This window comes from Homo sapiens, chromosome 3, assembly GCF_000001405.40.
Source record: "Homo sapiens chromosome 3, GRCh38.p14 Primary Assembly".
NCBI lineage: Eukaryota > Metazoa > Chordata > Mammalia > Primates > Hominidae > Homo > Homo sapiens.
Window position 1 is genome coordinate 69,275,000 of NC_000003.12, and position 26,845 is coordinate 69,301,844.

Sequence of the window (26,845 nt, forward strand, 5' to 3'; positions counted from 1 at the left end):
TGCATACTGATTCTTAAAACAGAAGAACATATGGCATGAGGATGAAGAGTGGACAAGAGGTCAAAGTAGCTGAAATATATAAAATGCTAAAAGTGTAACAAAACTGATTTCAACCAAGCACTTGATCTCAACCAAACAAAAATGTATGCACAAAAGAAATATGTCAAAATAATACAATTTATGCTCTAATATTGAGATTATGGATCTTTTTGATTTGTTGTACTTGTATGCATTTTCTAAATTTTCTACAATTAATAAGCATTACCTTTAACAACAGGAAAAAAAACGTCGTTGTCTTTAGTAGCAAGCCTTTGCTGTTCTAGATAAGGCAATTAGAAATTTTCAACATTCACTGAGCTTTATCCAGTGGGAAAAATGCCCAAGTGTTTTTGTAATGGATGAAAAGTGATCAGCAAAATGTTTTTATTCTCTCTCTCTCTCTCTTTTTTTTTTTTTTTGAGACAAGTTCTCACTCTGTTATCCAGGCTGGAATACAGTGGCACAATCATGGCTCACTGCAGCCTTGACCTCATGGGTTCCAGTGATCCTCCTGCCTTGCCATTCCAAGTAGCTAGGACCACAGGCATGTACCCAGCTAGTTTTTTTAATTTTTTGTAGAGATAGGGTCTCTACATTGCCCGGGGTGGTCTCGAACTCCTAGGCTCAAGTGATCCACCTGTCTCAGCCTCCCCAAATGCCAGGATTACAGGTGTCATCTACCATGCCCAGCCATTTTTATTATCTTGATGCAGTTTTGAAGAGGTAAATTTTAATGAATATACTGATTTTTTCTTTATTTTTCTGATTTAAAACTAATTCAAGCTTCCTGTTAAAAAATTGGAAAAGTATAACTTAGAAAGCAAAAGCTTTTCCAATCTCACTCTCAGAAATAATAAATATTTATACTATGCTATATTTTTATATTTCTTCCTATGAGTACATTTCATATACATAAGCACATAATAAAGTTAGAAACAATAATACTATATTGACTGTTCTGTGCCTTCTTTTAACATTTAACAACATTAGACTGTTTTCATGTTAGCTAAGGAAGGCTAGCCTATTCTTGTCAATGGCTGTACAATATCCTATCATATGAATGATTTGTAATTTATATAATGAATTCCTATTCAAGTATATTTGGGCAGTTTCCAGTTTCCTACTATTGGAAATAATGATGTAAAATATGTTTTTATAGATATCTTTTCCTATTTCAATAAAATCTTCCAAAGAATAGATCCCTACAGTTGGTAGAGTCCTGGATGACAAGATGTACTCTCTTTTTTTGAGACAGACAGGGTCTTACTCTGTCGCCCAGGCTGGAGTGCAGTGGCACAGTCATGGTTCGCTGCAGCCTGAAATTCCTGGGCTCAAGTGATCCGCCCACCTCAGCCTCCTGAGTAGCTGGGACTACAGGCGTGCACCATCATGCCTGGCTAATTTTTTTTATGGTTTGTAGGAACAGGGTTTCACCATGTTGCCCAGGCTGGTCTCAATCTCCTGGGCTCAAGCAATCCACCTGTCCTCAGCCTCCCAAAGTACCATGCCCGACCTTTAGGTGTACCCTTCATTTTAATGGAAATGGCCAAATTGCCTTCCTAAACTGCATTGGCTTTCAAGAGAACTTTGATACCTCCAGGTTCACGCTCAGAAATGTAAATGGCATTAAGATTCCAGGGATCGGGCTGGACACAGTGGCTCATGCCTGTAATTCCAACAATTTGGGGGGCTGAGGTGGGCAGATCACCTGAGGTCAGGAGTTCTAGACCAGCCTGGCCAATATGGTGAAACCCCATCTCTACTAAAAATACAAAAATTAGCCGGGCATGGCGGCACGTGCCTGTAGTCCCAGCTACCTGGGAGGCTGAGGCAGGAGAATCGCATGAACCTGAGAGGCAGAGGTTGCAGTGAGCCGAGATTGTGCCACTGCACTCCAGCCTGGGCGACAGAACAAAAAGATTCCAAGGGTATTGATACGTTAAGAGCATGTTTTCAGATGATAGGCTGAGACTGTCACGAAGTTGGCTAATGAAAGGGCACACCTAATAAGGTCTTGGTTAAGAAATGGGGTAAGAGGGAAGATAAAAATAAACATGATTGCATAGTCTTGCAATAACCCTATTTTTTAATAGGATTACTAATGTTTGGCTCACTTGTCTTTCCACATTTATTTAAAGTACAAAGACATGAGTACTTACTAGAACAGAAAAGGGAGCCCCATGAAGCCTACTAAAGCCTTACAGAGCCATTTTCTTCTCCATTTTGTTATGTTTGTTATGTTATCTACTCCTGATAAGCTGGAGCAGGGGAGGTCCTAACTGATTTGGTACTCAGGTCAGTATCTCTTGACTAATTCCAAAGATGTTTTATTTAAAGAATCAAAATAAACCTAGGTTTTATCGTGGGGCCAGATCTAATATAGAGCAACACCCAGGAGGCTTATGGTCATCTTTTTTGGCTTTATTATTTAATGATATGGTATATGTCTTGAACAGCATTTTCTTGCTTTCTTTCTGCTTTTTTTTTTTTTTTTTTTTTTTTTTTGAGATGGAGTGTTGTTGTCGCCAGGCTGGAGTGCAGTTGCGCAATCTCAGCTCACTGCAACCTCCGCCTCCCAAGTTCCCAAGGCAATTCTCCTGCCTCAGCCTCCCCGTCCCGAGTAGCTGGGACTACAGGCACGCACCACCACGCCCAGCTAATTTTTGTATTTTTAGTAGAGACCGGGTTTCACCATATTGGCCAGGATGGTATCAATCTCCTAACCTTGTGATCCACCTGCCTTGGCCTCCCAAAGTGATGGGATTACAGGCGTGAGCCACAGCGCCCGTCCATTGAACAGCATTTTCTTTTTCTTTCTTTCTTTTTTTTTTTCTTGAGACAGAGTCTCGCTCTGTCTCCCAGGCTGGAGTACAGTGGCCCGATCTCGGCTCACTACAACCTCTGCCTCCCGGGTTCAAGAGATTCTCCTGCCTCAGCCTCCCAAGTAGCTGGGACTACAGGTGTCTGCCACCTTGCCTGGCTAATTTTTGTATTTTTAGTAGAGATGGAGTTTCACCATATTGGCCAGGCTGGTCTCGAACTCCTGTCCTTGTGATCCGCCTGCCTTGGCCTCCCAAAGTGCTGGGATTACAGGCTTGAGCCACTGTGCCTGGCCTGAACAGCATTTTCAAAAGTGTGGTAGGCAGTCCATTAATAAGTATTGCTTTAAAAAAGAATTTCACATACAGATAAGTTTGGAAAGTATTAGGTTAAACCAAATCAAATAAGTTAATTTATTGCAGGACTTCTTGAAGCCTTTATTATTTGTTTTTCTTTTTAGAGGCAGGTCTCGCTCTGTCATCCAGGTGGGAGTGCGGTGGCATGATGATTGCTCACTGCAGCCTCAAACTCCTGGGCTCAAGTGATCCTCCCACCTCTGCCTCCTGAGCAGCTAGGACTACAGGCACACACTAACTTATTGGCTATTTTAAAAATTTTCTGTAGGCACAGGGTCTTGCTATGTTGCCCATGCTGATCTTGAACACCTGCCCTCAAGTGATCCTCTTACTGGGCCTCCCAAAGTGTTGCGATTACAGGTGTGAGTCACCCCAGTGGCCCCAAATTGCTTTTTTTTTTTTTGCCCTGCCGCTCAGGCAGGAGTGCAGCAGCGCAATCTCGGCTTACTGCAACCTCCACCTCCTGGGTTCAAGCGATCCTCCCACCTCAGCCTCTGAAGTAGCTGGGACTACAGGCATGCGCCACTGCACCTGGCTAATTTTTTTTTATTTTTTGTAGAGACGGGGTTTCACCACGTTGTCCAGGCTGGTCTGGAACTCCTGGGATCAAGCGATCTGCGCATCTCAGCCTCCCAAAGTGCTGGGATTAGAAGCATGAGCCACCATGCCCTGCTCCAAATTGCTTTTTATAGTACTTTAGGAAACAGTAATAAGTAACATCAAGGGATTTAAGGCATGCTCAGTCTCTCCAAGGTCCCTGACATCTTTTAGAAATATTATGTCTTACAAAGTATCATCAGACACATTACCTTTAAATTAAACACAACACATACCATCACATAAAGGATAAGGGTAATAAATAAACAAATAAATAAACACAACACATACTACACACATACAAATGAAAAAATCCTTAAGACTTAGGACTTTTAGGCCACAGGAAGGTATATTTGCTAAGTATTTTACGATAATGCAGCACTCATCACAGACCCTGACCCTTAATAGGAATGCAATGATGTTTTAATTGAATGAATGAAGACAGACAAATACGGTTTCTGGGGCCAGACTACATAGATCTGATCACTCCAGTACTAATAAACTATTCAAGCTTGGCCAAATTGTTTAACCTATTTATGCCGCCAGTTCCTTATTTGTTGAAGTAGTAATAAATAACTGTGTAAGTTGCTGTGGGTGTTAAATGAGCTAATAACACACACAAAAATCAGTGCTTTCTATGTGTTGAGTTCTTTATTGTTTCTTTTAGAGACAGGGTCTTGCTCTGTTGTCCAGGCTGGGGTGCAGTGACATGATCATGGCTTACTGTAACCTCAAACTCCTGTGCTCAAGTGATCTTCTTGCCCCAGCCTCCTGAGTAGCTAGAACCACAGGCACATGCCACCATGCCCAGCTAAGGGTGAGCTCTTAAGAGTTGAGTTGCTATCCTCCTCCTCCTTCTCCTCCTCCTCCTCCTCCTCCCCTCCTCCTTCTCCTCTTCCCCTCCTCCTCCCCTCCTCCTTCTCCTCTTCCCCTCCTCCTCCCCTCCTCCTTCTCCTCCTCCCCTCCTCCTCTCCTCCTCCTCCTCCTCCTCCTCCTCTTCCTTCCCACTTCTGCAGAAAAGGGAGCTGAGGCTGTCTGTGGTCTCTACCACAGAGCACCTCATAAGCCCTACTTGCTTTTCCACATTTTCTGTCTTTTCATTATTACCATATTTATATACACATCAAAAGAGAAAAGATGGCCAATACTATTTTAATTTGCCAAGCCTGTCTTCAGATTGCTGATTTAAAAAAAAGGGGGTGTGGTGGTCCATGTTGGCTGATTACTAAAATCACAGATATGGTCAAGGGCACCTCCAAGAATAATAACCTGGGGCAAGCCTACAGTCCTGCTTCATGCATTTAGGCTTTTTCTAGCAGGAGCAGGTTGCCCAAGGTAGACCACAGCCATGTTGAATGCTTCCCGGGTTCCCCAGTATCAGTTTCGGCATTTCCACATCACCACACCTGGCACAGGTGGTTGTTTTGTGAAGGCAAGGTGGGCCCCTCTGCATTCTCACTGAGGAAGCCAAACAGGTTCAGGGGCCCTCGCTTGAACAACAATCCAGACAGCAGCATGCACTCTCCTCTGAAATGCTTGACCCACAGTTCCTACCTAGGGGCAGTTCCTACCTAGTTTTCTTACAGGTTCTCTTCCAGCATGAGTGCTAGTGCACTCCTGAAATATCCCTCTAGAAGTGTTGCTTTGTCCCGAGTCCAGCCCATAAAAGTCATCTGGCCCCTAATGTACAGAAGCACCTTATTAACTACCATGGGCTAAGAGCATCACCATGTACAACAACGTTCAGAATTAAAGGAAAGAGGGAGTTTAAACTCAGGATGTCATGGATATGCCTCCCCCATGAATAGACACGTGATGCCAGAGTCCATGACGTTAACCACCACACTTGCTGCCTGTCATTGAGCATGTCCATGACATTAACCACTGCAACCTCTGCCTCCTGGGCTCAAGCGATCCTCCCACCTCAGCCTCCCAAGTAGCTGGACCATAGGTACATGTCACCAAGCCTGGCTAATTTTTGTATTTTTTGTAGAGATGGAGTTCACTATGTTGCCCAGACTGGTTTTGAACTCCTGAGTTCAAGCAATCTGCCCACCCTGGCCTCCCGAAGTGCTGGGATTACAGGCATGAGACATCACACCTGGCTGAAATTTTCTTCTTCTTCTTTTTTTTTGTGAGACAGAGTTTCACTCTTGTTGCCCATGCTGGAGTGCGATGGTGCGATCTCAGCTCACCACAACCTCTGCCTCCTGAGTTCAAGCGATTCTCCTGCCTCAGCCTCCCAAGTAGCTGGGATTACAGCCATGCACCACTATGCCCGGCTAATGTTTTTTGTATTTTTAGTAGAGACGGGGTTTCTCCATGTTGGTCAGGCTGGTCTCGAACTTCTGACCTCAGGGGACCCGCCCACCTCAGCCTCCCAAAAGTGCCGGGATTACAGGTGTGAGCCACTGTGCCCGGCCTGAAATTTTCCTCTTAACATATAATTCTCACTCATTTTTTGATGAAGGTTGTAATTAGTGTTGACTATAGTATTGTTAAGTGTTATTCAGTAATACCTGGAAAATGAAATTAACTTTGTAGATGTTTAATTTCTTAGTAAATGTAGGTGTTTTCATGTGTTTCCCCCTAGTCAAATTATACATTTTTGCTTCTTGCTTGACTTCTTGGGAAACAAGTGTTATCAGCAATACTCATTCATTTGTTGTGTTAGTCAACCACAATTTACTGAATGCCCAATGTGTGCCACATTTCATACATAAAATTTTGCTTGTTGGGTGCGGCAGCTCACGCCTGTAATCCCAGCACTTTGGGAGGCTGAGGCGGGTGGATCACCAGGTCAGGAGTTCGAGACCAGCCTGACCAACATGGTGAAATCCCGTCTCTACTAAAAATACAAAAATTAACTGGGTGTGGTGATGCGTGCCTGTAATCCCAGCTACTCAGGAGGCTAAAGCAGGAGAATCGCTTGAACCCAGAAGGCGGAGGTTGTAGTGAGCTGAGATCGCACCACTGCACTCCAGCCTGGGTGACAGAGTAAGACTCCGTCTCAAAAAAAAAAAAAAAATATATATATATATTTTTGCTTACAGTATTTTTCACAAAAGTGAAAAATCTTTATTCCTTTTTCAGACCATGCTGGATACCCAAACTCAGAAACGAGGCACAATTGTTTCTTTCAACACATTGAAGTGTCACCAATGGCTTATTCTCTATGCCGTATGGGCAATGATATTTACAGAACCCATTGAGAGCCACCCAGTTTTTCAAATGACATACTCATGAGGCTGAATTTTATAAATCCGTATTTATGTAGCTGTGCAGAGCTTCAGCAACTGTATCAAATCTTATCATAAGTCATATTTCTTACTAAACAAGTATGTAAGAAGACATTGTGGTTTTATCAGTATTTGCAAATAAGAGCTCTCTTTTCTTGCCTGTGTATTTCTGTTCTCAGTGGAAGGAAGGAAGTAGCTGTAGGCGAAAGCTGTCTGGCAGAGAAGAAATGTGTGTAGGGTGTGATCAGAGGTGTCAAACATCTCACTGGAGAGAAGAATGCCCTCTGTGCAGTGTGGAGGGGGGGCCCGTTCACTTTCAGATCTAGCTGTGAGTCCTGAGTTAACAGCAGCTACCAACCATCAGTGACTCACTTTTGCCAATCAATAAATCCACCTACGAGTGTTCTACAGCTGAAACTATGTTCTCATAAAACTTATTTGTCTCTGTGGCCATGGTTCAGCTGATATTCCTTATGTGGAATGTTCTCAAACAATCATACATCTTAAGAAATTGCTTGAAAGCTGCTTTATCCAAACAGCTACCTGATCCTGGAACATCTCTTAGAATTTGTTACCAGCCATCTACATTTTATATACGTATATTTGGAGATGGAGTCTCATTCTGTTGCCAGGTTGGAGTGCAGTAGTGTGATCTTGGCTCACTGCAACCTCTGCCTTCCAGGTTCAAGCGATTCTCCTGCCTCAGCCTCCGGAGTAGGTGGAATTACAGGCGCCCACCACCACACCCAGCTAATTGTTGTATTTTTGTAGAAACAGGGTTTCACCATGTTGGCCAGGCTGGTCACGAACTCCTGACCTCAAGTGATCCACCCGCCTTGGCTTCCCAAAGTGTTGGGATTACAGGTGTGAGCTACCACACCCAGCCATCTGCATAATAATTAGATAGAAAATATCCCACTCTAAATTCCTACAAATAAAATTTAAAAAATTATCTCAATAACAGTCATAGTGCCTTACAATATTATGTTCTGTAAAAGTTCTAAATTATTTGACAAGTCATGAAACACTCCCATTTAGAAAGGAGCTCCCAGGCCAGGCGCTGTGGCTCACACCTGTAATCCCAGCACTTTGGGAGGCCGAGGTGGGTGAATCACTTGAGGTCAGGAGTTTGAGAACAGTCTGGCCAACATGGTGAAACCCCATCTCTACTAAAAATACAAAACATTAGCTGGACGTGGTGTCAGGCGCCTGTAATCTCAGCTACTCGGGAAGCTGAGGCAGAGAATCGCTTGAGCCCAGGAGGCAGGGGTTGCAGTGAGCTGAGATTGCACCATTGCACTCCAGCCTGGGCAACAAGAGTGAAACTCCATCTCAAAACAACAACAACAACAAACAAAAAACAAAAAAGCAACAACAACAAAAAAAAAAAAAAAAGAAAGAAAGGTGCTCCTAGCAACTGACATTCATGAAATGCAGTAGCATTTAAAGGAATTCTGCTTTTCCTTGCTTTCTCAAGACAAACAGAATTTAGCATGCAGAGGTACAAGAGAAACGTCATGAGTTGAAAATCTTCATTCTAACCACCTTTGCATTAGCAACAGAGAAAACACTTGATCAATGCCAACTAGGCAGTGAAAAATATTACAAGGAGCGATTGTATGTCTCCACATAGGAGAGGATAGCCAACTGTGGTTTATGAAACGTGTTCCTGACTCAGTAAATGCTGTGTTTGAAAAGCTGTGTTTGTTATATAGGTGTCTACTCATCAGTCAACCCTTAGAGTTCTTAGGAAAACCTGAATCTCAGAAAAGAGGGCTGTAGTAAAGCCTTTGATGCTGGGAACATTTTACTTTCCCGATAGACTCAGCCAAAAACTCTGCTTCGAATATTTACACTTCCAGCCAAGATGGAGTAACAGGGACTGAATTTATCCTCTTAACTGAAAAAACAAAACAAAACAAAACAAAAAAAACAAAAAACAGACAAAATATATAAAACAACAGTTTTCATAACACTGAATATCCAGCAACGAAGATAGTGAACCTTGAACAAGGCGAGCCCTATGACTGCCCCCAGTACTGTCAAGAGAGGGCTCCAGGCTGTGGAGGGAGAAACACAGCAGAACACAGTGAACTCCCTGAGCTAAGGAGATGCAGCAACTCCTTAGTCTGGGAGATCAAAATGAATAGAATTTGCAGAACAGTCTGCCAGAGAAAAGAGAGCTGCGAAGAGAGAGAACCCCTGAAAATCTATAGAGGGTCTCCTCTGAGGATTCGGTAGAGCACTCATCATTCCATGCATGAAAAGAAACTACCCAAAGTTGGAGACCATCTGAAAGGATAAGAGGGAAGAGTGCCTCATCCTTACAGGGCTGGAGGTGGTGCCTATTCCCACCAGCCAGAATAAAAAACTCATAATTCATGGGGCATTGAATAGAGTACTCAGGAAGATCAGTATGCAGAACAATTAGCTATAGAATGTGCACTGCTCTGGGCTAGACTAACAAATCATAAAAGCAAGACCTGAAAAAAACCAAACCATATTCAATCAACTAAACTGCATCCCAAAACCAAACATCAAGAATATTTATAGGAACACAAAAAATATATAGCATTCAAAAAGATACAATTAATAATGCCTACCATCCTACCAAATATTGCCAGGCATGCAAATAGGCAGAGAAACATGACCCATAACAAAGACAAAAATCAATCAAAAATACCCGGAACTGACACAGACATTAGGATAAACAGACAAAGGCATTAAAACAATTATTATAACTATATTTAATATGCTTAAAAAGTTAAATAGTCACATGCAAGATGTAAAAAGGATCCAAATCAAACCTCTAAAGATAGAAACTCTAAGGCCGAGCATGGTGGCTCATGCCTGTAAATCCCAGCACTTTGGGAGGCTGAGGTGGGAGGATCACCTGAGGTCAGGAGGTTGAGACCAGTCTGGCCAACATGGTGAAACACCATCTCTACTAAAAATACAAAAAATTAGCCAGGTGTGTTGGCACATGCCTGTAATCCCAGCTACTCGGGAGGCTGAGGCAGGAGAATCACTTCAATCCAGGAGGTGGAGGTTGTGGTGAGCCAAGACTGTGCCACCGCACTCCAGCCTGGGCAACAAGAGTGAGACTCTGTCTCAAAAAATAAAACAAAACAAAAAAACAAAAACAAAAACTCTAATATACAAAATGGGATTAATGGCAGATTAGATTGCAAAAAACAGATGAGGGAAACTGAAGACAAAGCAAGAGAAACTATACAAGATATCATATTCCCCCAAATCCCCACAAATGCAAAGCATTACTATGTGACAAGTTCAAGTGGCCAAGCGTATGTGTAATTGGGCTTTGCAAATGAGGCATACATGAGGCCAAAAAAAAAAAAAAAAAACCTGAAGAAATAACGGCTAAAATGTTTCCGAATTTGATGACAACTATAAGCCAAGATGCTCAATAAATGCCAATGACACACACACATACACAAACACATGAAGAAAGCTATACCAAGGCACCTCATAATAAAAATCCTCAAAGCAGGCCAGGCACAGTGGCTCATGCCTATAATCCCAGCACTTTGGGAGGCTCGAGGCAGGTGGATCACCTGAGGTCAGGAGTTTGAGACCAGCCTGGCCAATATGGCGAAACCCCATTGCTACAAAAAATACAAAAATTAGCCGGGTGCGGTGGTGCACACCTATAGTCCCAGCTACTCGGGAGGCTGAGGCAGGCGAATTGCTTGAACCTGGCAGGCAGAAGTTGCGGTGATCTGAGATGGCACCACTGCACTTCACCCTGGGCAACAAAGCGAGACTCCATCTCAAAAAGAAAAAAAAAATAATTGCTCAAAGCAGAAAAAAGAAAAAAGAGAAAAATTTAAAAGCAGCTAAAGAAAAAGATATTCCATACAGAAACACAAAGATAAAGATGACAGCAGACTTCTCATCAGAAACAATGCAAGCAAGAAGATAGTGAATCAGTATTTCTAAAGTACGGAGAGAGAAAAACTGCCAACAAGAATCCTATATCATGTGAATTATCTTCTAAAACCAAAGGCAAATAAAGATGTCTTCAGGTACAAGCTGAAGGAATTCACCACTAGTATGCCCACACTATAAGAAATGCTAAAGGAAGTCCTCCAGGCAGAAAGAATCATAACAGACAGAAATATTAACCTACACAAGTGAATGAAGAGCAACAGAAATGCTAACTCCATGGGTAAATATGTAAGACTTTTGGTACTGTTTAAATCTCTTTAAAGTTAATTGAATATTTACACAAAAATAATAATGTCATGTGCATCTGTAACTTATCTAAAAGTAAATTGTATGACATCAATCGCATAAAGGCTGAGAGGAGAGAAATGGAAGTATACTACTGTAAGATTCTTATGCTACATGTGAAGTGGTATAATATCATCTTGAAGGTAGACTTGATAAGTTAAAAATGTGTATACTATAAACCCTAAAGTAACCATGGAAACAACAAAGAGTTATAGCTAATAATCCAACAAAAGAGGTAAAATGAACACATAACATGCTCAATAACCCTAAAAGAAGGCCTGGAAACAGGTATACAGTCTGGATAGGGAATTCTGAGATTCCCAGGCATTGAGATCAGAACGTACAAGGGAGGAGCCAGGCTCCACTGGGCATCTCTTGGCCCATGGCTTCCCTTCCCTTCCTCAGGAAGTTGCTTGAGAAGACCACAGTGAAGGCTTTTAAAGCTATGCTAGTCTGCAAAGAGAAAAAACAAAAAACTGAGAGTGTTTAAAAACTTTTTTTGTTTTATTCTTGTTTTTGAGACAAAGTCTAACTCTGTCGCCCAGGCTGGAGTGCAGTGGCACAATCTAGGCTCACTGCAACCTCTGCCTCCAGGGTCCAAGTGATTCTCCTGCCTCAGCCTCCCGAGTAGCTGGGATTACAGGGGCACACCACCACGCCTAGCTAATTTTTGTATTTTTAGTAGAGATGGGGTTTCACTGTGTTGGCCAGGCTGGTCTCGAACTACTGACCTCGTGATCCACCTGTCTTGGCCTCCAAAAGTGCTGGGATTACAAGCATGAGCTGCCATGCTCGGCCGTAAAAACGTTTATAGCAATTTGACATGGCTGTAACATCCCAGCATGGGATTATTTTTCTAGCAATGCATGTTTATTGAATTTTATAAAAGTGATCTGTCCTTGATTCATTAGATAGAAATAAAAAACAATAAAAGAAAAACCCTGTCCCTTACCACAGATAACTGAGATACTGCTTGAAAATATGTGGCTGTGAGCAGCTTTCCTTGCCTAGATTTAAGGTGGCACATGTGTGCAGGGATCAGAAGGCAGAAATTGAACCGAAATAATAAGGCTGGTTTTGAATTACTGTAAGTGTAGGGCATACCTTATTTAAAAAGATTTCTGGCCTAGACGTTTTGATTATGATCTGATTGATCCATCTTTCTGTCTTTCTGGGTCACTCTGTGTCGATTATTTGCTGGATTTAAAGTAGTAGTGATTGTGCATATGCAGGATTCCCGTGCAGATGGTTGTCTTTCCCACTCAGAATTTGAGAAAAGATACCATTTGTGTATGTGTGTAGTTGGGGGGTAGGACATATTCATGGAAAAGATTGTGGCCTTTTTTTTTTTCTTAGTTTGAATGCAAGAAGAGAGGCAAAACCATTTCTTCCTGTCATCCCAGTCGCTCTGGAGGCATCCAGTGAACATGACAAACGGGGCACCTACCTTGTGCACACAGGCCTTTGCATTCAGGAAAAACAGCTCCACGGTGGTTTTATCCTTTAAAAACGATATGCTCTCAATGTAAAACCTGAAAAACAGCAGAGGAGTTTGTTCCTTCAGATTTATTTTCACCTCTCAGCATTCCTCATTCAGTGTTCCCCAAAAGCAGGGCAAGAATTTTGAGAAACCTGAGGAAGGTTGTGCTTTCTTTTCCGTTTTAAAAGAAATATGCACCGCACGTATTTATGTGATGGATGTATGTGTATGTATACCTAAAATCTCTTTCAGGATGTTTTTGTGTCTTGGAAGGTGAGTTAAAGAGAAACCCCAAATGGTATTCAACCAAAAACAAACAAAAACAAACGTTTATCTGTGTTGCTTATTCTTTGAAACATGTTCTGGGAGTTCATAATACCTCAGACAGCTTCAAAACAAAGCGCAGATGAACTAGGAGTTGAAAGCTGAAGTCGGCTGAGCAAGCACTACCTAACCGAACCCCAAAGCCTGCTTGAGGCTCGGGGGTTTTTAGACGGAGGGGCCTGAGGGCCCCATGCCTACCTGACCCCCATTCACTGGGTGAGTTTCCATCACACTTTTCAATCACTCCTTTCTTCCTTCCCATCCTTCCAGGCCCTGGGTTTTCCTTTGGCTCAAAGCCAGGCTCTCAGCAGCCATCAATCTTGGTCTTTTCTCATGCAAATCAGGGTATTCTGGGCCTCACTGCCCCACTCCCTTTCTAGGATTTTGCTTGTTCAATCTGTGAAACCACAGGTTGCAGGCAGGCCCCTCTCAGGAGCGCTCTGACAGCTCCCGGGTGGGGAGGAGGCTGAGTCTTTAACAACTCTGTTTTCATAATCCTGTACTGATGAGGCCGGCTTGCAAAGGCTGGCACTCTGTGGTGTGCGAGTGGGCAAGCTGGGGCCCCGAAGTTTTCCTCAAGTTCTGGAGCATTGCTTGATTAATAATCATGAAGAGCCATCAAGCCCCAAGACAGCTCACTGCTTTGAGTCCGAAAGGGAATTTACTCTCAGATCAGTGAGAGTGAAGGTAAACCAGGGCTAGGAAGTGGCCAGGTGAACCTATCCTTAGCTCTGCGGAATCCTGAGTGCTTGAGCCTTTGCTTCTCTTTTTCTCCCTTTCCACAGTGATGATACCTTTGATAAATAAATGCAGCTGAAAGGGCTGTGAAAGATTTTATCACTGAGATGGTAAAATCATTCGAAACATTCCACCCTTTAATGTTGAGTCATCAACGGAAGTTCCAGAAAGAGAACAAATCCTTTGTATTTTTACTTACAAGCTTTTATCTCACTTGTAAGTGAGGTTAATGAAGATGGAGGAGTGTCAGATTTATGAGAAGAGAAAGTTAAGTACAAAGGTGGTGAAGGAAATGAGGAGTTGGGGGAAAAATAGGTTTTGGAATCCAAAAGATCAAGATGTAGTGTTTCATGTCCACCATTTATTCGCTGTATGGCCTTGGGCAAATTATTTAGTTTCTTTGTGTCTTTTTTAAATTGAATGTCGTGACTGTACTTATCTCTGAGGAAAGAACAGAACTTTTATCTGAGGAATTCCAGTTCTTTCAATTTATCAGGTCTAGAGAGGCATTAAAATAGACAACAATCAAGTCTTACTTCCCTCCTTGAGCTATGTATTTTTCTCCGGAAACTGCTTGCTACTGCCAAAACTAGCTGCACTGGGCACATTAGTGTCCACTGCCCCGGACACTGTAACCCACAACCTGTAGCTCAACAATGGATAGCCAGGCCAGACGCAGTGGCTCACGCCTGTAATCCCAGCACTTTGGGAGGCCGAGGCGGGCAGATCACTTGAAGTCAGGAGTTCCAGACCATCCTGGCCACCATGGTGAAACTGTCTCTTACTAAAAATACAAAAATTAGCTGGGCGTGGTGGCGGGCGGGCACCTGTAATCTCAGCTACTCCGGAGGCTGGGGGAGGAGAATCACTTGAGCCTGGAAGGTGGAGGCTGCAGTGAGCCAAGATTATGCCACTACAACTGCAGCCTGGGCAACAGAGGGAGACTCTGTCTCAAAAATAAAACAAAACAAAAAAAACCCAAAAAACAACGTATAGCCAATCACTGATCAATGTTATTTCTGTAAACCAAGGAGAATTAATTCCTGACGAACAACTTTTGTAACTGTCCCCTTTCTTGATTTGTCCTTTTTTTCTTTAAACACTTGGACCTCTCCTTACTTCTCCAGAGCACTTCCTAAGGCAACTTGGAAGTGTGTCCTAGGCTGCAGTCCTCAACCTTGTCCCAAATAAGCTTTTTATATTAATTTTGTCTCAGCTTTTCCTTTTGGGTAGACAGTATTCTCCTCTCCCATCAGTCTAGTGTCTTCTACCCTGAGCCCTGCTGCGTGGACTAGGCGAGTCACCTGACTCAAAGGCAGCCAAGATGTCAGGCGGTGAGGTGGCCTGGAAAGGAGCAAGTGCCACTCAACAGATGCTTTTTATACTGCATGATGAATGAGTCAACCAATTGCACATGGTCTCTTAGAGACTTGAGGGGCGGGTGAGGAGGGATTCAGTGGAGGCAGAGAAAGGCACTAAGCAGAAATTACGAGGCAGCAGAAGCCATGAAGTAGAGAGGGACAAGAGTCCACAGCAGGAGTTGATGGACTGAAGCAGGGTAGCCGAGTCACTTGTGATGGCAGACACCAAAGTGAGGCAGACCAGAGGTTGGCTGCTGCTACAGGGCTGAGATGACCCATGTTATACAAGTTTCTGTGCATTTCCAAGAACCTTCCAGTTCAGCTACTTGGTGGTGGCTGTTTCCTGCTTTCTTGGCTTTCCCATGCATTTGTATCCCTATCAATGAAGATAATATGAGCAGGCTTCCAGTGGGCAGCCTAATTAAGGGCGGCAGCAGGATCCCAGCTAACATTTCCCTGAGCTCTTACTGAGGTGCCTGCAATGTGCTAAGTGCTTCCCGATTGTTCTCTCATTTAATTATCACAACTGCCTTGGGGAGGGACCTATGATGACCCTGATTTCACAGACGCAGACTCTGAGTTTTAGAGATCTGCCTACCTGGTGGGGCTAGGTCTTGGTCTGGGACAATGACTTTGACTCTGTGGACAGTGCTCTTAACCAACATCTCCTCCTGGGCTGCCGCTCCCAGTTCACTCAACTAGCACTCAGCAGGAAGCTGAACCCTTAGTAATTGTGGGCGTCTCAACCATGTAAAAAATAGCAGAAAAATAAGACAAGTGTGACGTTTTCACCAAAATGTTAACATATATAGAAGTACGTGTGTTCTCTATTGCTTCAATAAGCAAAACCATGGCAAAAGACTTACGTTGAAGGATTTTGATTAACCTATGAAACACCTTTTTAAAAGTTAGAGTAGTCTCAGAAGGGGAAGCCCTTTCCAGAGGAAGAGATCTCCCTGCCCTAAAAAAATCCTAGGTCAGATTAGTAGAACTCAACATCTGCCTTCTACTTGAAATTTCTAAGATTATTTTTTTCCTTCACTTTTAATTACTTCAATAGACTTCTCTAACAGGGACTGTATTAAAAACACGGGGTCAATGAATTTTCACACACAACAAAGCTCATAAGAATTTCTTAATATTATTTAAAATTTAGTCTTCACTTGTATTTTCCCATTGCCTCCAAAACTTATAAAAAAAAGAGTTCTGTGATTGTGACATTTAATAAGTAAAGCTGCACTGGCCTATGGCAACAGTCACATATGCAAAAGTCGTAAGGATCACTGGCTGGATATAAATGAGTGATGCTGACCAGATGGGTGAGACCTGCTTGGGGGACACTGGGACACATTTTTTCTGCTCTACTAAAACTCCTTCATCATGGTGTGGGTAGGTGACCCAAGCTAGGCCAGTCAGCTTCTCACCCTGGAGAATAAACTTGATTAGAATGACCTAAAGATCAAAGATGGTTGGAGCCTATTTATTCTGCTAACAGCACTCTGATGAAATTGTCCCTTGGTTTCTGCTCCCTAGATCCCTGCAGAAGCCCTCATCCCTGTGTTTTCTGAGTCTTTGTCAATTCAGTTTTCCTTCCGTTTTGTTTGTTAGCCACAGGTAGTTCTGTTGCTGGCAACTAAAGAACCCAAGTTAATAGAGGGCTTCTTCCATGCTAGGGATAATACAAAGTGCTCTACAGGAATCTCTTTTTTTTTTTTTTTTTTTTTTTCCATCTTTGGTACCACCAGATGCAGTAGGCAACAAATTATGAGCCCATTTTACAGATGAGAAAGCTTAGATACAGAGATGTCAAGTCTTCTTCTTTAGGCCATACAGCTAGCAAGTAGTGGAGCCATGACTCAAACTGAGGTCTGTTAGACTTCTAAGTTCATATTCCAAGTCAATATGATATAATGCTTTCCTACAATAACAATCAAAATGAAATATAACATGTACAGAATGCTGTGGGGGCCCACCAGCCTGAGGCAATTAACTCAGCTTATGAATTAAGGGGAGAATGCTGCCAAACTGAAATCCATAGAACTAAGCACCACAGGAGAGGGGACAGTTGAGCTGAGTCTTAAAGAATGCATGAGTTCACCAGGTAACAAAGGTAGGAAGGGCACTCAGGCGGATAGCATATTAGCCAAACTAATCCTCCTGCTAGTCTTTGAGCCCTGAAGAAACCGCATACAGGTTGCTGGGTAGCTTGGCACCAAATCAATTTGTAGCGCATCCAACTTTGAACAGATACCTTTGTATTAGAAACTGGGTTCACCTTGTTTTTGGAGTCCAGGCCCCTGACTACATCCTAGTCCCAGTAAACAGGTCCCTATCTTATTTCCCACTACTTTCTGGCGACCAGCCCTGGTGCCTCCTGCCTAGGCATCAGATTACCAGCTTTCTGAATCCACAATTCCATCTCTCCCTCAAGGGGGCCATTGTAATGGCTTCATATTTATGGAGTGTATGAAAAATACATATGGGCTTTGGGGAAAATGGCTCTTCAGGCACACCTATCAACACAAACCATGAACTGAAAACAAAATCTAGGGCTTCTTAATGACATGAAATGGACTATCCCAGATTCATAAAGACCTTTTTTTCAGCCTTTTTTTTTTTTTTTTTGCAAAAGGATACTGTTTCCTTTTTGCATGCTTACTGTGAGCGATTTCACTAAGGTTTTCTTAAGTTGAAGCCCATGGTTAATTTTTCAGCTTCGGAAAGAACCCAGGCTTTTTGAATAGGCACACATTTTGGAGACAAACCTCGGCTTCACAAGTGTAATTTCTTGAGAAGAGAATTTGCTCAGGAAGGTTTTGTCACTGTTATTTGGGCTCCTCCCATTAGCATTTCTTTTTCCTTTCTTGGTTGGCTTAACCACTCATTAGTGATGACAGAACATTACACCACTGTGACATGACAAAGACGGCTGGAAGGGACACAGCCCTGCCAGCCAGATGGCAACACATGGATGTCAAAGAGCACAACACCCAGTTGTTTGGAAGTGGCTGTCCTTTGAAGAGTCGCTTAAATTTATGTGGCCAATATTTTCGTCTTGTGGTATTTATTTCTAGTGGTCACAAGTCAACACTAGGGAGTGGGAGAGACATTAGTTTGAATCCTAGCTCCAGTGCTGATCAGTCTTGAGGTCTTGGGGTAGCTGCTCCGCTCTCAGTGCCTCTTACCTCTCTTGCCTCACACACTGGAGAAATGAGAGGGTTTGAAATGTGCTTAACATAGCAGGTGGCATGTAGTTTAGCAGCCAATGAGTGGCGGTGACTATTAGAATATTATTATCTCTCTACCGATGTGACTGTAATAAAAGGCACTGACTTAGTTGGGAACATCTTTAAAGCTTTAACTGTAACAACCAGAATAAAAATTCCAAGTATCTGGCCAGGCGCGGCTCATGCCAGTAATCCCAACATTTTGGGAGGCCAAGGCAGGCAGATCACTTGAGGCCAGGAGTTCGAGACCAGCCTGGCCATCATGGTAAAAACTCATTTCTACTAAAAATACAAAAATTAGCTGGGTTTGGTGGCACATGCCTTTAGTCCTAGCTACTCAGGAGGCTGAGGCAGGAGAATCGCTTGAACCTGGGAGGAGGAGGTTGCAGTGAGTTGAGATCCTGCCACTGCACTCTAGCCTGGGTGACAGAGCTAGATTCTGCCTCAAAAAAAAAAAAAAAAAAAAAAAAAAAATCCAAGTATCTTTCCTAAGTTCTTTCTCTCAAAGAAACAAATGCTACAAAAATGTCTGTTTTAACATAAAATGAGAAAATAGTGTGAAACCAATGCTTTTCTAATCAGTTTCAACTTTTCTCCCTCAACTGAGCATGGTTTCTTTGTTTCCCAGGGCCTTTGCGAGGTCCCAGTGGTATCTTCAAAGAAGGTGAATTGGGCAAGAACTGCTCAATTATTTTGCATTCTGAACAATGCTGAGTTTGTGACTGGCGTCCAGTGAGGGCTAAATCAAAACACCTCATTCTGGGTTTCTTTTAGTCACCATGAGTAATTTTAGGCATTTAACTGCAGCCACACGCCTAGGTAGATTTCTATCAGATCCTCATCCACATTCTGAGCGGGGAGATCTCTGTTTATTGCTTGTAATGACCCTGCAAGGTAGTCATATCTCACTTTATAATGCTGAAGGCTGAAGTGTAATTTAAGTGTATTTCACTTTCTCCAAACACATCACTTTCTGCAAGATATTATGCAGTGCTTATGGGAGTCCAATATGTTCCCTTTCATCTGTGGGAGGGGAACAGTCTTGGAGAATTCCCAGGGGAAGCACTGTTTGCTTCTACAATGTGCTTCTCTGCCAGGAATGCTCTTCCTCATTTCTGAATTTCCAGACATGGCTAGAACCAGAGAGGGCCTCCTGGTAAGCCTGTAGAAACCTGCCCTCTTGCTCCTTTCCCACAGCATGACTCTTTCTGAGTTATCTAGAAGAGCTGGAGGCCCAAAAGAGTCAGGGCCTTGCTGTGACCTGCCAGGAAGGGGAGAGAGTCTTCTCCCCTAGGCAACCTGAAGTGTCAGGGGCATGTGAATTCCAAGTGCTTGCCTCTCCTCTGCTTTAAAACAGCCTGCTCTAGTCCTCCACAGGAAAGCAGGGACAGATGCTTTGAGAGGGAGTGGGGAGGGGAGGCAGCGGAGAAAAGTGGGGAAGTAACATCTGGGCACGGTGAATAATGAAGATAAATGATAAGATCTTTCACCCAGTGCAAAGGGGAATGGGTCAGACCCAAGCCAGACAATCCCAAATCTTTCATATTCAAAGGCTGTGACAGAAACTTGATAGAATGTTTCGCCCACTGAACATGTGGTTGAGGCAGCCTGTTATTTAGGACATACAAAATAGTTAACATTTATATAGGGTCTACATTAGCTGTTAGCACTTGTAATCCTCCAACAACCCCCAAAGTAGGTGGGGGCTACCACCAGCTTCATTTCATAGGTGATGAAACAGGCCCAAGAGGGTGCCAGAAGCTACATAGTGAGTAAGTGGAAGAGCTGGAATATGAACCTAAGAATGATGCTAAAGCTCTGTTCTCAATGTTTGGGTGGGGGTGTTTACCAATGCTGAAGACATTATTTGACTGTCAGCACTTGGGGAGTGTTATTGTTTATTTTGAGACAGGGTCTTGCTCTGCTGCCCGGGCTAGAGTGCAGTGGCCTGATCACCGCTCACTGCAGCCTCAATGTCCTGGGCTGAAGCAATCCTCCTGCCTCAGCCTCCTGAGTAGCTGTGACTGCAGGCACGCACTACCATGCAAGGCTAATTATTGTATTTTTTGTAGAGACAGAGTTTCGCCATGATGCCCAGGCTGGACTTGAACTGGACTCAAGTGCTCCACCTGCCTTGGCCTCCCCAAGTGCTGGGATTACAGGTGTGAGCCACGGTGGCTGGCCTGGGAGCATCATTGACGTCAGTAAGTGGAGACCAGGGATGCTGCTAAAGATCCTACAGCACAGCTTAGCTCCCTACTACAAAGAATGGCCTGGTCCTCAGTGTCAATAGTGCTGCTGCAGTGAAACCTTGCACTGAAAACTGAGCTTCTAATTTCCGTGTTCTCTAGCTTCTTTCCCCCTTCACAATATGGTTTCTTTCTTTCTTTTTTTCTTTTGGAGACAGGGTCTTGCTCTGTTGCCCAGGCTGCAGTGCAATGGCGTGATCTTGGCTCACTACAACCTCTGCCTCCCAGATTCAAGTGATTCTCCTGCCTCAGCCTCCCGCGTAGCTGGGACTACAGGTGTGCACCACCACACCTGGCTAATTTTTGTACTTTTAGTAGAGATGGGGTTTTGTCATGTTGGCCAGGCTGTTCTCGAACTCCTGACCTTGTGATCCACCCATCTTGGCCTCCCAAAGTGCTGAGATTACAAGCATGAGTCACTGCTCGTGAGTGGCACCCAGCCCCACAATACGATTTCTTTACTTTTGATGTTGCCTCTTCATTGTCCTGAGACACACACACACAGACAGACAAACGCACACATCCTTTAAGCATTCATGGCCCATCTGTTTTTTAAAACTGTGGAAACACAGGCACACCCACCAAAAGACAGGACTGAAAGGTTTGCAAGGGGAGTGAGCAGATTTCTAAAAATAATTTCTGATACTTGCCCAGGGAATACACCGAGAAATAGAATCCTGTAAGAAACTAATATCATGATCGAGCATGTGCTTCTGAGGATTCCGTGTCTTTCTTGAGCTCTTGTGTGAATTAGGATGTTGGATCCTCAAAGAGGAAGGCCATTAAACGCCTGCCTGGAAGTTCAGAATAGGCTGGGCCAGTTAGGGGTCATGGGTGATACTGAGGCAACTGGCCTTTGTATTACCCATGGTCTGGGGTATTGTGCATTCAGATGCGAGTGTGACAGATGGGCAAAGACCTCTGGCTAACTTGCACACCTCCCTCAAGTAACCTCAGCTCAGCCTAAGTAGGAGAATCAGTTGTTTCTCAGGGCCTTTAAATCACATTCCTCCATGAAAAGATGAATTTCCAGTCCTCTCATTATTGTAAATCACCTACCATCTGATGGCTTTAAACAAATGCATGGTTATCTGGTCACAAACATTTTATCCTTTCTTCCTCTTATCGCTTTTCACAACTGCATTAAAAAAATTTGCTCAAGTAATATGTTCATTGTAAGAAAAAATACAGATGACCAAAAAAGAAGAAAATGAAAATCATCCCTACAATCATTCTACCTAGAGATTAACTGTTGTTAACATTTTAAACTTAGTTTCCATCTGTACAGACGTTTTTGTAAAATATTTTACAAAGAGTGTTATCATATTGCATGGACTTTTTGTGGTCTACTTCTTTCACCTAGAATATATTGGGAGCATCTTTCTATATCAATAAGTCTCACCCTTTACTACAGTCTGTCTTTATGTGTCACGTGTATTTGGCTCTCTTTAAAAAAATTCTGGTGGAATGACGAGGACTCACGGGTTGTAGTCATGATGCTTCCTCGAGTTAAGCTCTTTCTAAAGATCTAATGTTCCAAAGACCAGGCCAGGAGCGATGAGAAGGCAGTCAGCAGTCTTGACTTCAAGGGCTCCATGTTTGCAGCAATTTTCACCCAGAGGTAGCAGTCTGCCTCCGGGTTTCCTACTACAGTAGGAAAGTGAGTTCTTCTCAGCCCTGAGTGTGGCAGACAATGCTTTAGGGTACCACTGAGTGGACACATGCAGTCCTAGGACCCAGCAAAAGTGACTTGGAAAGAGGAGGAGGAAAAGAAGGGAGAAGAGGGAAGACCAAATGAAATGAAAAACAACAACAACAAAAAATAATAAAGGGGATGAAAGATGCCAAGATTCTGGCTTTGACTGGAACAGGGTGGTACCAGCCTGAGGCACCTCAGGTTGCCCTCCTCTGAGGGAATATGAGCATTTCCAGTGAGGTCACGCCAAGGCCCTGCACTCCTATTTAAATGCTTGCTTGCTCCTCACTGTCAAGCCTTTCAAATGTTCACATCTGGGCTGCATTACCAAGAGGCTCATATGTTTGTGGAATATAATTTATGGCAGCCAGATAACAACCCCCAGCCTGGGGAAGTCCCCCAGAAACCTGGGGGAGTTTGGACTCCCATGGAAATAGAGAACTGGTTAAATAAATTATGGTACCTAAATAAATTATGGTGCGTCTATACACACAGAGGTCACACACATATTTAGCACACCTCTTTGAGATTTTATAACTGGAAAAAAGAAGACAAAGGTTTAATCTTGAAGTCATAAAGGGAACACTACATGCCTTTGCTTTAAATATTTTCTTTTCTCTGTGCAGAAGCAGCATATGTTTCTGAGCTGCTCCCTCTATCCTGGGGGATATAAACCAGATATTTATTAACCCTTCAAATCTGTAGGACCTCAGGGTTTAGCTCAGGAGTAAATGAGACAATACTTTTCAAATAGCCTAGGGCCTGCTGCAGAGTTTATGCTACATTTCAGTAGAGAGAAAACTTCTTGAGAGCAAGTTCTCGTGGAATTTTTCTTTTTCATAAATGCTACAATAAATAAAATATTTTCTTACATTTGCATAATGTTTTGCAAAATCATTTTGTATCCCCTGCTCTCTCCTCAATTCTCATAACCAACTTGCACCATCTCCAGTGAATGTGTAGTGAGTGAGACTCAGTCTGGTTCACCCCACTCATCTCTGGCCTGGGCCATTGCAACAGCTTACTAACTGGTCTTGCTGTGCCCTCCTGCCCTGTTCCGATCTGTCCTCAACCCAGCAGCCAGAGTGAGTCTGTTTAAAATGGAAATTGGTTATGCTCTCAAGCTCAAAACCCACAGGCCCCAATGCTCTACAGGCCAACCCCATGCCAACTCCTACTCACCTCCCTTTTATAGGTTCTCTCCAGATACATGACTTCCTTCCAGGGGCTGGTACACACCAGGCATGCTCTTGCCAACCTTTCTGTGCACCTGCTGTTCCCCTGGCCTGGAAGAAACTTCCTCAGAAATGGGCCTGGGTCCTGGGTCCTTGTCTCATCTCCTGCATGCCTTTGCTCAATGCCACCTTCTTTGAGAGGCCTTCCCTGACCACTGTTTTTAGAAATGCAGCCCCGGCTTTGCTAATATTCCCTTTTCCTCCTCCCTAATGGAGTTTTCTCCATAACCCCTCACATAAGATACTTTGCAGGTTTACTTTACTTAGTGTCAGTCTCTTTCCATTAGGCTGTGTGCTTTATGGCTGCAGGATTTTGTCATTTTCTTCTACCACTGCTATATTCCCAGCATCTAGTATAGGGCCAGACACATAGCAGGAAATCAGCAACTATTTATCAGATGAATGGACAAACTGTTATTATATAATGAATGCATTTGTTTATGTGTATGCTGACTATGATGGTAGAGATTTTTGCCTTCTTCACTATCGGGTCCTCAGACCTAGAATGGGGCAGAACACAACGTAGCAAAACTCCAATACATAATGAATGAAGGAAGGAAGAAATGTTTCTTCATAGCTTGGTGTAGCTCCTTCCAGGAATTTTCTCAGCATTTACAGATCTATATAGGTTTATAAAACATACCAACTTCAAAAAACCTCAATGTGATCACCTGAACTTTCCATGGCATAAACAGTAATCTCTGTTTTACAGAAGGACACTCATTCCCTATCTTTTTCAGATATAATGTATCTTATCTCCTAAGATGCATGAGCGATGAGATACATGACAACATCCCTGGTAACAGTGACTTATTAAAGTAATGATTTATGAGAGGAGGGGTGGAGAGAGGGCTCAACAATGCACCCCTCCCTCCATGGCATTATATCAGAATCTGGGCCAGGAACGTGGAGTTGGAGGGGAATAATTGTGTAGTTTGAAAAATGTCCCAAGATGATTCAGATATGCCCTGCCTCTCCTTCTGGAGAAGCTCTGAATTGCAATGTACTTTTTCATCTAATCTCTTTTGTTAAAGTGATTCATTGTTTACTATAAAAGTGCCACCATAACCTACTGAACCTATCTTCATTGTTGGCATTAGGATATTTCTAATTGTTTGCACCGAAAATAACAGCGGTACACATGCTTTAATGTGCTATCACTGAAGGGAATTCTTTTTCATTGTGCATTAACTATTTGGTGACTACACATCTCGGTGTCCATGAATGAGGGGCTTCTGTGCTCCATGTTCCAGTGCATGCAGCAGTACTGTGCTGACACAAGAGGTGAGGTACCCAATCTCAAAAGAGGTCCCCTGCACTTCCAGAGGCTCCTAAAATGAGCGAACATCAAGACAGAACCAAATGCTATCTTTGGCTCTCTATTCTTCAGTCAAACAGGCAACCTGGAGATTTGTTGATGGTGTCTACTGGGATAGAAATCTTACCAATAGTTCTGTTTTCTCCAAATAGGAGGCTAGAGACCCTCTGAGGAGCAACTCACTTCACTGGAGCACAAGACAACCCCATTTGCAAGACCTCCATAGAACCAGCTACATTCCACAGTGACCTCGGTCAGTTCACAAAATTCTTTGGCGTGTGCTTTTCCTTTATCATTTCCTTAATTAAATTGGAGTAAAAACAACTACTTAATTGGAATAATAACAAAGACTATTATGATTCTCACTATACTGTTGGGAGGAAGAACTAAGTGAATAATTAAAAACTTGATAAGGGTTTAAACATGCAAGTAGTTAGGGGAAAGTAATGCGAAGTGATTAGGGGACACTCTTGAGATAACACTCCAAGTAAGTGCTGAAACTCATGAACAAGCAGCAGGCCACTCTGGAATTTCAGGAACCTGCTTGGAGAAGATAGAGTGCCTTATGAATGACTGTACAGAAAGGGAGATAGGGTTTACTCCTTTGGTATTCTGTGACCCAAAACAGACCAGATATTAGCTGTCAAATAATCTGCACAAATCTGGTTACTACCTAGATGGTACTTGTTAGATGTTCTGAAGACATAACGCTTTCATTGAGTAGGGAACACTACATAAACACTACACCACATGCACAAAAGATGAAAGTGCAAGGATGTTAGGTGCAACCTATTGGTTTTTTTTGTTTTTGTTTTTGTTTTTTGGCGATGGAGTCTCACTCTGTTCTCCATGCTGGAGTGCAATAGTGTGATCTTGGCTCACTGCAGCCTCCGCCTCCAGGGTTCAAGCTATTCTGCCTCAGCCTCTGGAGTAGCTGGGATTACAGATGCCCACCACCAAGCCTGGCTAATTTTTGTATTTTTAGTAGAGATGGGGTTTCCCCATGTTGGCCAGGCTGGTCTCATACTCCTGACCTCAAGTGATCTGCCTACCTCGGCCTCCCAAAGTGCTGGGATTACAGGCGTGAGCCACCGCGCCTGGCTAGCTGCAACCCAAATTTTAATAACAACTAGAAATAGCCTAAATGCTTAAATAAATAGATTTTTACACACCCAAGGAAAGATCTCCACCCAGGTTGCAAAGAAAAAAAATTTAATTCATCAAACAACTTACCCTATTTTTCTAAGAAGGGGAGCAAAGTTTATCATAAAATTTTTCATCAAACTTAGGAAAGTGGGGAGAGGGGGTCAGTACATAAGGAGGGCTTTCAGCTCAATCAGTAATGATTTCACCTCAAGCTAGGTAGAGAAATATAGGTATTACTTCTTGTTTTTTTTGTTTTGTTTTGTTTATGAGATGGAGTCTCACTATTGTCCAGGCTGGAGTGCAGTGGTACGATCTTGGCTCACTGCAACCTCTGCCTCTGGGTTCAAGCGATCCTTATGCCTCAGCCTCATGAGTAGCTGGCATTACAGGCACACACCACCAAGTTCAGCTAATTTTTTTTGTGTATTTTTAGTAGAGATGAGGTTTTGCCATGTTGGCCAGGCTGTTCTCAAACTCCTAACCTCAAGTGATCCACCTGCCTCAGCCTCCCAAGGTGCTGGAATTACAGTCATGAGCCACTGTGCCTGGCCGGTATTACATCTTATAACATTTTATTTATCTTAGAATGTGAACTAAAAAAAATAGTTCTATCATGAGATGGATTTGAGAAATTACTGATTTAGCTGAATGCATCCATTTCAGGATACAGTTAAGTGACTTGCCCAAGCAAACCTCAGAGAACAAGTCAAGGACTCTGCATTATTTTCAGCAGTCTGTCTGCATGTGAATGCAACTCAGATCCCTG

General features: G+C 43.1%; 1 protein-coding gene across 13 annotated transcripts in view, besides 1 other annotated feature; it reads right to left on the reverse strand.

The window, feature by feature from the left end:
• FRMD4B (FERM domain containing 4B) overlaps positions 1-26,845 on the reverse strand; it is a 373,805-nt gene that overhangs the window by 106,218 nt on the left and 240,742 nt on the right. For all 13 annotated transcript variants that reach the window (XM_017005993.2, XM_047447767.1, XM_047447771.1 and 10 more), the window contains one exon: positions 12,753-12,837. In XM_017005993.2, the coding sequence (XP_016861482.1) occupies positions 12,753-12,837 (85 nt within the window). The remainder of the gene's footprint in view (positions 1-12,752; positions 12,838-26,845) is intronic.
• Positions 13,165-14,155: an enhancer, noted in NCBI's record as "OCT4-NANOG-H3K27ac-H3K4me1 hESC enhancer chr3:69337315-69338305 (GRCh37/hg19 assembly coordinates)". NCBI's record gives its function as "activates a minimal SCP1, AML or CMV promoter by ChIP-STARR-seq in naive H9 embryonic stem cells {active_cell/tissue: H9 hESC(naive)}" and the evidence as "EXISTENCE:reporter gene assay evidence [ECO:0000049][PMID:30033119]".